The 11690-nt window shown below is 45.9% G+C and overlaps 1 annotated feature.

The window, feature by feature from the left end:
- Nucleotides 11178-11378: a silencer, noted in NCBI's record as "peak2284 fragment used in MPRA reporter construct". NCBI's record gives its function as "represses an SCP1 promoter by STARR-seq MPRAs in K562 erythroleukemia cells {active_cell/tissue: K562}" and the evidence as "EXISTENCE:reporter gene assay evidence [ECO:0000049][PMID:32103011]".

An 11690-nucleotide genomic window follows, 5' to 3' on the forward strand; every position in this document is an offset into this window, starting at 1 on the left:
CCTTCTGTTTACCAGAGAATGAATTGGTTTTCTATCATTTCTTGAAGGTGACCTGTTTATTTTTAATATTACTATGAGCTCATGGATTGAAACATATGTGATTGTTTTACTGTATTGTGATTATCTTTGTTGAAGCTAAGATTATCCGTTTCTAGACAGTGGCAGCCTCTTCAGTGTGGCTCCCAAAGTGATTCCGGTGTTCTTCGGTAGCATCCAGGCAGTCTACAGAAGGTGTCCTCAGTTTTTTGTAGGTTGCCACTCTTCACCTGGGGTCTACCCTGGATTCTTTTGAGTTCATACTGATACTTAAAATTTTTTTCCTTTTGTTTTATATTTTATTTATGTATTTACTCGTTTAGAGACAGGATCTTGCTCTGTCACCCAGGCTGGAGTGCAGTAGTGCAATTATAGCTCACTGTGGCCTCGAATTCCTGGGCTCAAGTGATCCTCCTGCCTCAGCCTCCTGAGTAGCTAGGAGTACAGGCACATGCCACCTCACCTGGCTAATATGCTGATTCCTTCTACTCAAATTCAAAAGTACAAGGTCTGTGCTTCTGTTACATCTGCCTCTCCTTTCTTCCATATCAAATCCTGGTTCCAAGAGTGTTTGATAAAATATCTCATGATTTTTCATTTGCTTTAACATAACCACATTGCATACATGACAGACTTAGGATATAATTTCAATACTGCCAACATCAGTATAATTACTGAAATTCTTAAAAATCTTAGAATATGCCCTAATTTTTTCAAATTTATTAAAATAATTATACTGCATCTACAAGAGCACAATAGCTGTTACATACTATACTTTCTTTCAGTCTTCGAGTCTTAGTTTTACTGACTGGTCCTCATGGGGTCTGAAGTGCACTCTAGTGAATTCCTCATTAGCCCCTGAGATCAGACTTGTCCATGAGAGTTTTTGTCCTTTGAATTTGAAAGGTAGTTTTTCTGGGTATTAAAGCCTTGGATCATGTCTTTTTCCTCTGTGAAAGTGTGATAATGTTAGCATCTTTCCCCCTTAGAAGTCACGTGTGTTTTTTCAGTAATTTTGCTAGAATATACGTTGGTGTGGCCATTCTCAGTGATGTTCTCGGTTAGAAGTAATGTGTGTTTTTTGAGTAATTTTACTAGAATATACGTTGGTGTGGCCGTTCTCGGTGATGTTCTCGGTTAGAAGCCGTGTGTGTTTTTTTTTTTTTGTAATTTTACTAGAATATACGTCGGTGTGGCCATTCTCGGTGATGTTCTTGGTTAGAAGCCATGTGTGTTTTTTTTGTAATTTTACTAGAATATACATTGGTGTGGCCATTCTCAGTGATGTTCTCGGTTAGAAGCCGCGTGTGTTTTTTTGGTAATTTTACTAGAATATACGATTGTGTAGCCGTTCTCGGTGATGTTCTCGGTTAGAAGTCAGGTGTGTTTTTTCGGTAATTTTACTAGAATATACATTGGTGTGACCATTCTCGGTGATGTTCTCAGTTAGAAGCCGAGTGTGTTTTTTCAGTAATTTCACTAGAATGTATGTTCGTGTGGCCGTTCTCGGTAATGTTCTGGGTTGGAAGCCACGTGTGTTTTTTCGGTAGTTTTACTAGAATGTGCATTCGTGTGGCCGTTCTCGGTGGTGTTCTTGGTTAGGAGCCACGTGTGTTTTTTCGGTAGTTTTACTAGAATATACGTTCGTGTGGCCGTTCTTGGTGATGCTCTCAGTTAGGAGCTGCATGTGTTGTTTTGTTGCTTTCACTAGAATGTATGTTCATGTGGCCGTTCTCGGTGATGTTCTCGGTTAGAAGCTGCGTGTGTTTTTTCGGTGATTTCACTAGAATGTGCGTTCGTGTGCCTGTTCTCTGTGATGTTCTCGGGTAAGGGGTGCTCTTTTAGTCTGTCATCCCAAGTCTGTTTTGCAGGATGTTCTCTTGAATTGCAGTCTGCAGTGTTTGTTCTGTAGCATTGCTTAGCAGTCTTTTCTAGGGACGCTTGGTAACTCTCCATGCGTTGCATACCTCATGCCTTTTAGAGTTAGTGTTGGTTACTTTCTCTTTCAAGTACTTTTTACCTCTGTTTATTTTTTAAAAACTTCCTCTTTTTTTCCTATTTGTCTTAAGGTAGCATCTACTGTGTTTATTTGATTTTACACTCTGTTTTAGTCTCCATTGGAATGTAGTTTTGTTTTCATTGTAATTCTGTCTTCAGCTTTATTTAGTTTCTTCATTTTCCTAAGTCTGATTTATGTGGTTCTTTCACGTCTTGTATCATTTTTCTAATTTCACTCAATTTCTTTTGAGATGATAGATTATAGGGTTGACATGTTTTGGGGGCATATCTTTCTGGCCTGCTTTTATTGCCTATAGGGATGTTATTTTGTTCCTTATTCTCACTTTGTTTTGGAGACACAGTCTTGCTCTGTCACCCAGGCTGCAGTGCAGTGGCATGATTCTGACTCACTGCAGCCTCGACCTCCCAGGCTCAAGCCATCCTTCCCCATCAGCCTTCTGAGAAGCTGGGACTACAGGCTTGTGCCACCACGCTTGGCTAACTTATTTTTATTTTTTGTGGAGACGAGTCTCTCTATGTTGCCCAGTCTTGTCTCAAACTCCTGGGCTCAAGCGATCCTCCCAGCTGGGCCTCCCAAAGTGTTGAGAATTACAGGTGTGAGCCACCGTGCCCAGCCTATTCCCTTTTTCTAACAATAACTTTTTATTGTATTTGGTCTTATACTTGTATCTTGCTCATTTTTATGTGAAATCATTTTTCTTGAACTTTTAGAATGAGGTGAGATTCAGAAAAGCTTTGTCACTTTGTCACCTAGGTTGGAGTACAGTGGCACGATCTTGGCTCAGTACAGCCCCAACCTCTGGGCTCAAGCGATTCCCCTTCCTTAGCCTCCTGAGTAACTGGGACTATAGGCCGTGCCCAGCTAATTTTTAAAATTTTATATAGAGAAAGGATTTCACCATGTTGTCCGGGCCTGTCTTGAACTCCTGAGCTCAAGCGAGCTCCTGCCTAGGCCTCCCAAAGTGCTGGGATTACAGGCGTGTACCACTACATCTGGCTCAGAAAAGCATTTTTAAACTTTAAGCTATTACTTCATGATAGAAATTTAAAGAACAAAAGGTATTTCTAGTCAGCATTTGCCTAGATGAAAATCTTGTGACCCTTTTTCTCTTCTGTTTCTCTCTCGCTTTATATCCAGTCCACCAGCAAATCCTGTTTTCTCTGCTTTTAAAATATATTCCAAATTCAACCATTTTTCCCTCACTCTAGACATTCTGGGCTAGAGCACCGCGGGGTCTCACCCAGTTTATCATCCTAGCAACCACATACTAGCTGCCTCCCTGTGTTCCTGCTTCCACTCCCCACCTCCTGCGGCCCCCCCAGAATCAGCTCCCAACAGAGCATGCAGAGATAGTATCTTAAAACCAGTCCAAGCCTGTCAACCCTGTAACCGTAAGAGAGGACCTGAGCCCCTGCCCCACGTCCCTCCTTCTTCCCTCCTTCCTCCCCTGCCTCTTTCCCGGCCTCTCAGTGCCATCCTCTGCTAGATCTTCCAGCCTGAAGGAAAACTCTTGTGCCTCTGCTCGCACACCTCTCACACCAGATGTGCGGGTTCTCCACACCAAGCGGTTCTCCAGTTCTCTGGACACGCCAGAAGTTGAGGTGCTCCTCACCTCCAATGCCGCTCACTCCCCAGGTGACCCACAGCTGCCATCTGACTTGGCTGCACACTGGGCATTCCCACAGCCCCTGGTCAGTGTGATGTTCGCTGTAAAGCTTGATCAGGGGAGTGGAGTTGCAGTAGGAAAGTCTGCCCGGGAGTGACTGCACAAAACAAATTGGCCAAGTGGAAGTGTTTTCTGGCCTTCCAGTCCACAGACATAATCTTCAGTGGGGATGAGCTGGGGAAAGGGTGGTCAGTCTTGAGATGCTTGCCTTTGAGGCCAGTTCTTTCTGACTTTCTGCTATTCATTAGCTGTTAAATGTGGTTTTAATCTCACTGTTAACTCCTTGGTGCACTGTTTCTACTTTGGGTGCTGATCTGGAGTGGTTGCTATGTTTTGTGCTCGCCTGTCCTCCAGGTGCAGAAGGACTCAGGGTGGAATTTGACCGGCAGTGCTCCTCAGAGTGGCACCACGACCCTCTCACAATCATGGATGGCGTCAACAGGATCGTCTCCGTGTGGTCAGGTAAGGACAGGAGGTTGAGCCAGGATTGTCTCCATGCGGTCAGGTAAGAACAGGAGGTTGAGCAGGGCATGATCTGCCCACCTGTGTCTCCATAGACACAACCCTTCACATTTATAGGACAGAATGCTGCTACCATATTCTCATCGAAGTCTTGAGGAAGGGACAGTATGCTATGTAGCTGTGAAACACAGTAGGTTTGCTTGCCTCTTTCCCATACTTTTAAATACAGTAGTTATCTGTGATGTATGTACCACATCCCTGTCGGATGGGCCCTGCCTCACCAGACAGTTGCAGAAGGTGCTGGTGACGTGTGGGGTGCCAGGGCTCGTGCGAGGTCATGGTTGGCATAATACAGAGCTTCTTCAAGGGGTTTGTTTCTTACTGGCTGCAGTGAGGGCATGGCCATGTGTGGAGTGATTTCTGTGTGTAGGTGGAGGCAGCCACGTGTCCGGCTTGTCTCTGCTGCTGGGCTCCATGAGGCCAGCGGGGACACATCAGGACGTCTTTGGGGGCTTGTGAAATGCTCTTTTACCAAGTATTTTAGAATTGGCAGTGCAGGGGTGTGTGTATGCACCTTTTAAGACCTCTTTATCCTTCATCTCGAGTGTTTCCTGTAAAGGGCCAGGTAATGCAGCCTCTGTCATAACATGCAGACAGGATGCCAGTGAATGGGCGTGGCTGTGTCCCAGGAAAACTTTATTCACACAGCGTTACTTAGTTAAGTAAAGCTTTGCATGAAGTGGTGTGGTCCCAGTGGGCGTGGGTTTTTCTGGTGCTTTGACAGATGTTTGCCAGTGTAGTTTTCAGTAGTGTTGTTGGATGTGACCGTATTTCTGCATCCAGCAGAAAGTGCTTATGGGCCATCCCTGGGCTGCTGCCAGATGGTCATTCTGAAGCAGAAATCTGGAGGGGTTCTCTTGGCCTTCTGAGATGCTGTAGTACACCACCGCTCCTGTCCACAGCAGCCAGGCCCTCTGCTCCCTCGAGGGCGGCCTCCTCTGGGCTGTGCTGAACCACACACATGGGCCTTTTGATGGGAGAGCTAGGGTTCTTCCTTCTGCTGCCTGGCCACCTGGTTGTATCAGAGCATTCCCGGGAAACATCCCCATGGCCCCTGGCCTGGTGTGTGCTGGAGACCTGGAGGCCCACTCACTGTATCCTGGCTGGTGGGGTCATTTCCCCACTGGGCGATGGCTTCTGCCAGGGCAGTGTCTGCCCGCCTGCCCCAGTTTCCTAGGTACCTGGTACAGGGGCTGAATGCGTGTTTGCTGAAGAATGGTATGTATTAAAATGTGAATCCCAAGAGTGATGTGTCACTGTGCACTTCAGCTTGGGAGAGCTTGGATTGGAGGAACTTGCTCTTCATGCATGATGGAAATCATTCTGCTTTGTGTCTAAGGAAGTTTGTGTTGATTGGATGATGGAGTGAAGCTAACCCCGAGATTCACTTTCCTCCCCCAGACCGAGGGTGGTCCGACTGGTCCAGCTAGCTACGTATCCCGGGGGATGAGTTAAAATGGAAGTTCATCAGCGACGGGCCTGTGAACGGCTGGGGCTGGTGCTTCACCATCTATCCCATCATGCCAGCTGCTGGTAAGGGAGGGGCTTATGGCAATCAAAGTTAGATGACTGGCTGTGGATTGTTTCTGGAGTAACATGGACATGTGCACATTTCCATGTAGTGCCTGACGGCCTGCCTTCTGCTGTGTTGCGGTGAATGCTCCCACAGGCCCCGTTGAGGCGTGGAACAGAACACAGAGAACTGTCCCAGCCGTCCAACTATCAGGCTCACACTCCTCCTCACCTGGTGTGGAAGGAGTTGTTGCTGGTGTCATTCTTAGGCTTTTGGTTTACAGTGGAAGTGTGAGTGTGAAGAGCAAGGCTCACCGACTCGCAGTGGCATGCGTGGGCACACCAGCTGTTGCCTTCTGGTGGGTGGGGCTGGGTGGAGCCACCCTTGTTTGTTGGCTTCTTATGGGTTGGTCCCTAGCTTGTGAAACACAGGGGTGTTTACAGTGCTCATTCACAGGCCCTAAAGAACTCCTCTCTGACTGCTGCGTCCTCTCTTGTCCATCCACGGACTTGGTGACGTGTCTGTTAGACTTCCGACTCAACCTTGCCTCTAACAGAAGTGTCGTCCCTTGCCTTGTGGCCTTGCTGGCAGCTTGTGCACAGCTGAGTGGCCTAGGTAAATGCCACCATTACAGTTACATCTGTCTTCCTACTTGGAAGAAACCATCAGACTTCTGATACTTCTTTCTGCTCATTTCAGCCACCAGTCACAGAATGTGGGCCCTTCAGAAATTGAGGAAGCTGCTTACAACTGAATTTGGGCAATCAATTAACATAAATAGGCTGCTTGGAGAAAATGATGGGGAAGCAAGAGCTTTGGTATGGAGCATTCTAGTACAATTTCTAGATTTGTGACCTTTGGGGAATAAAATGTTGCTTTCGTAGTCTAAACCTCTAAATCATTGAGAAGAGTTGGGGAATTTCACATAAGAAAAAGGAGGCCTCGGACCGGGTGTGGTGGCTCACGCCTGTAATCCCAGCACTTTGGGAGGCCGAGGCGGGCGGATCACGAGGTTAGGAGATCAAGACCATCCTCACTAACACAGTGAAACCCCAACTCTACTAAAAATACAAAAAATTAGATGGGCGTGGTGGCAGGCGCCTGTAGTCCCAGGTACTCGGGAAATTGAGGCAGGAGAATTGCTTGAACCTGGGAGGTGGAGTTCGGAGTGAGCCGAGATGGCACCACTACACTCCAGCCTGGTGACAGAGCGAGACTCCGTCTCAAAAGAAAAAGAATAAGGAAGGCTTTGTCACATCCAGACTTTTTGTATGTTGCAGTGCATACTGAGTTCAAGTTGGACTTTGATTTTGTGAAAATCTGTCTCGACTGCCATGAACATAGGATTGTGTTGATTGGACTTGGACAATGAGGCTAACTGATTGGCCTCCCCTTTATTTTGCTGACTAAAGTAGTCCCTTTTGATCCTACACATGGGAGGAGACAGGCAGCGTTTGTGGGCCAGAGAGGGGCTATTTCTCTGGAAGCGGATGTACTGAAATCAAGACCAAACATTCTGAGATGAGTCTTTAAACTCCTCTTTTTTATTTTAGTGTTTATGTTCTTTTAGCTTTTTTCCTACTTGAGAATTTTGATAAGCTTTTTTTTTTTTTTTAGAAGAAATGGTACCAACATAATAAAACATTTGACCTTAGAGACAAATGGTCAGCCTCTCCTGTACTCTGGATTCCCACGATAGAATACTGTTCTGTTGTTTCTTAGAGTTTTACAGGTAGTGCTCTTGCTGCTTTGGTGAAAGGTCTTCCAGAAGCTTTGCAAAGGCAGTTTGAATATGAAGATCCTATTGTGAGGGGTGGCAAACAGCTGCTCCACAGCCCATTCTTTAAGGTAATGTTTCACTTCTTTTTTAAAGTGACAATAGAGCTATTTGACTGAAAGAGCCACTGAGAGTTGTCATGTGCAGTCTGTTTGTGTGTTTTAGGCCTCTGAGGGCAGCTGTAGGTTGCTGAAGTCAAATATGAAAAAATCTCAAGAAATGATCGTGTAATCTAAACCCTTAAACCATAAGCCTGTAACCGTTAGCATGCCTTGAGATGCACAGGTGTTCTTGTCACTTGATGCAGGCAACAAGTGTTGCAGCAGTTGTGTGGCACGTGGCTAGGAACTGTCAGAGATCGCCACATCACTGATGGTGGCCGTATCCTTGCTGTGCCCATGGCCGTCATCCTGGAATAGGAGGTCCTGCGGAAGGAGCCACAGAAACCTCGGCCTGTTCACTGCATTTCTGAGTGTCCCTGAGTTTGTCATTTTTGGTGCCTGCAGGTACTGGTAGCTCTTGCTTGTGACCTGGAGCTGGACACTCTGCCTTGCTGTGCCGAGACGCACAAGTGGGCCTGGTTCCGGAGGTACTGCATGGCCTCCCGCATTGCTGTGGCCCTTGACAAAAGAACACCATTGCCCCGTCTGTTTCTTGATGAGGTATTGCATGATATTTTGGAATCACTTTTGGGATGCAAAAACATTGTTTAGCTATAGTGTAACAAGATGCCAATATTATGAGACACAGAAAAATTTTCCTTGCCAAGGAATATCAAAGAAAATAACACATAGGTAGGGCCAGGCGCGGTGGCTCACGCCTGTAATCCCAGCACTTTGGGAGGCCGAGGCGGGTGGATCACGAGGTCAGGGGTTTGAGACCAGCCTGACCAACATGGTGAAACCCCGTCTCTACTAAAAATACAAAAATTAGCTTGGCGTAGTGGCGGGCGCTTGTAATCCCAGCCACTCAGGAGGCTGAGGCAGGAGAATTGCTTGAACCCGGGAGGCGGAGCTTGCAGTGAGCCGAGATCGCACCATAGAGAAAAAGAAAGAAAATAACACATAGGTGAAAATGAGTGAACTGACACTGTGAATTTCAGTTAAAGTTTATTTTTAGTGAACTACAGATAGAATGAGACTGTCTAGACATTTTTAATATGTTAGACTTGATGCAGTCATTATTGGTTTTGCCCAGGAACCATAACATTGCAATGTTGCTCTTCCCTCATATTTTCAGGCAGGGATTCCTTCTGTCTTTCCTTAGTATTTATTTATTTTGTTTGAGATGAGTGTTTGATTTGTAACATCATAATAATTTTGTTTAAGTGGCTAAGAAAATTCGTGAATTAATGGCAGACAGCGAAAACATGGGATGTTCTGCCTGAGAGCCAAGACATTTTTAAAAGAGAGCAAGATGAACAAGTTGTGCAGTGAATGAACAGGTTATTATATTAGAAACAAGCAGTAATGTCGATCTTGAACGCGAGAGGCTGTGTGCATTGTTCTTTCCCATGGCAAATGCTCACTTGATGTGTGTTGTAGGCGACCAGATGATTGGAATCTGTCTGCTGGTGGCAGTGGAACAATTTATGGTTGGGGACATGATCATAGGGGCCAGCTCGGGGGCATTGAAGGTGCAAAAGTCAAAATTCCCTCTCCCTGTGAAGCCCTCACAACTCTCAGACCCATGCAGTTAATCGGAGGGGAACAGACCCTCTGCTGTGACAGCTGATGGGAAGGTAAGGGTGCTTTTTCTGTGTCACAGGGTCACTGAGCCTGAGGCAGTTGTGGCTAACGGTGCTGTGTGGTTCTTAGCACAGGCAAGGATCTGCACTAAAACGTTTCTCAGGATTAATAGTACTGTGGTATGCAGGAAGCAGTTAGACTTCTAAGATATTTTTGCATAATCTTTAAATTTTTTTTTAAAAAATTTAAGATGGAGTTTTGCTCTTGTTGCCCAGGCTGGAGTGCAATGGCGCAATCTCAGCTCACTGCAACCTCCACCTCCTGGGTTCAAGTCATTCTCCTGCTTCAGCCTCCCGAGTAGCTGGGATTATAGGCGCCCGCCACCACACCTGGCTAACTTTTTTGTATTTTTAGTAGAGACAGGGTTTCACCATGTTGACCAGGCTGGTCTCGAAATCCTGACCTCAGGTGATCCGCCCACCTTGGCCTCCCAAAGTGCTGGGATTATAGGTGTGAGCCACCATGCCTGGCCAATTTTTTTTTTTTAATTTTGAAAATACATCATGTATACGAAAGTATTACAATTTTTGTTTGTGTATCACTCGTTAGATGTGTTTCTTCCTTGCTATTGTAAATACTTTTAAAAAATTTATTGCTGCTGGCCCGGTGCAGTGGCTCACACCTGTAATCCCAGCACTTTGGGAGCCCAAGATGGGTGGATCACCTGATGTCACGAGTTTGAGACCAGCCTGGCCAACATGGGGAACCCCGTCTCTACTAAAAATAAGCCAGGCGTGGTGATACGTGCCTGTAATCCCAGCTACTCGGGAGGCTGAGGCAGGAGAATCACTCAAACTTGGGAGGCGGAGGTTGCAGTGAGCCGAGATCACACCACCGCACTCCAGCCTGGGCGACAGAGCAATACTCTGTCACAAAGAAAAAAAAAAGAAAAAAAAAAAGATTGCCACTGATATATAGAAATATTGGATGTTTATATACTGACTTTATGTTTGGTGACCTACTTGAGTCTCTTCATTCTAGTGTATCTGAAGATTTCTTATATCTTCTTTATAGAGTGCCATAGTCTCTAAATGAATTCTGTTCCTTTCTGTCTAGCATACCTCTCTTTTATTTTTCCCATTTGTGTGGGAGAATGGGAGCTCATGGTGCGGGCTGGGGTTGTGATGTGATTCTGGGTAGGAGTGGGCAGAGGCTCCTGCCTTGATCCAGACTGGAGCAGGCACAGAAGGAGCGTTTCCAGGCTTCCAGTGGGGTTTGAGTAGAAGCCCTTGATTAGATTAGGCATGTTTCCTTCTGTTTCTGTTCATCAGTGGAGTGTTCAACACTCTTTCTATGTATTTTTGAAATGTTCTTTCATAGATGTTTTCTGTTTTTTTTTTTTTTTTTTTTTTTTTTGAGACAGAGTCTCACTCTGTCGCCCAGGCGGGAGTGCAGTGGCACAGTCTCGGCTCACTGCAACCTCTGCTTCCCGGGTTCAAGAGATTCTTCTACCTCAGCCTCCCGAGTAGCTGGGACAACAGGCGACTGCCACCATGCCCGGCTAATTTTTTTTTTTTTTTTTTTGTATTTTTAGTAGAGATGGGGTTTCACCATATTGGTCAGGCTGGTCTTGAACTCCTGACCTTGTGATCCGCCCGCCTCGGCCTCCCAAAGTGCTGGGATTACAGGCATGAGCCACCACACCTGGCCAATGTTTTCTAATGGATTGGTATAGTCAGTTGGATTAATTGGTTTTCTCATATTAAACAAACTTGCATTGTTTGGATAAATCCAGTTTGGTCAGGATATGTATCTGGCTTGTGTTTGTGATTGTTTTGTTTAGATTTTTGGGAGATCCTATTCATGAGTGAGATAGTCTCGTGTAATGTTCTGTCTCACACACATGTATCATTTCATAGTTTCTCTGGGTCAGGACTCTGGATGCAGCATAGCTCCATCCTCCAGCTCAGAATCTCAGCAGGCTGCAGTTGTCTTGAGGCTGTCCGAGCAAGGATTCAGTCCCTTGTGGACCTTTGGGCTGAGGCCTCAGTCCCTTATGAGCTGTTGGCAGAGCCTCCCCTCACTCAGCCCTTTGCCACGTGTCCATAGAGCGTCTCACAGCGTGGCAACTGACTGTCAGCGAGAGCAAGGGAGGCGCAGGAGGGAGCACCAGCAAGAGAGAGTGGAGGAAACAGAGCCCCGGTCCTGTGTAACTGAATCACAGAAGTGACCACACTCCATCGTTCTTGCCCTATTCTGCTCATCAGAAGCAGGTCATTAAGTCCAGCCCACACTCAGGGAGAGGGAGCTGTAGGCATACTTGGAGGTATGCAGGCTTGGTTCTAAACCAACACAATAAAGCAAGTGTCTTCACAAGTAAGTCACACAAATTTCTTGGTTTCCCAGTGGATATAAAAGTATGTGTATACTATAGTCTATTAAGTCACATCTTCAGGCTCCACTTCTAA

This window comes from Homo sapiens, chromosome 15 (assembly GCF_000001405.40).
Source record: "Homo sapiens chromosome 15, GRCh38.p14 Primary Assembly".
NCBI classification, from domain to species: Eukaryota; Metazoa; Chordata; class Mammalia; order Primates; family Hominidae; genus Homo; species Homo sapiens.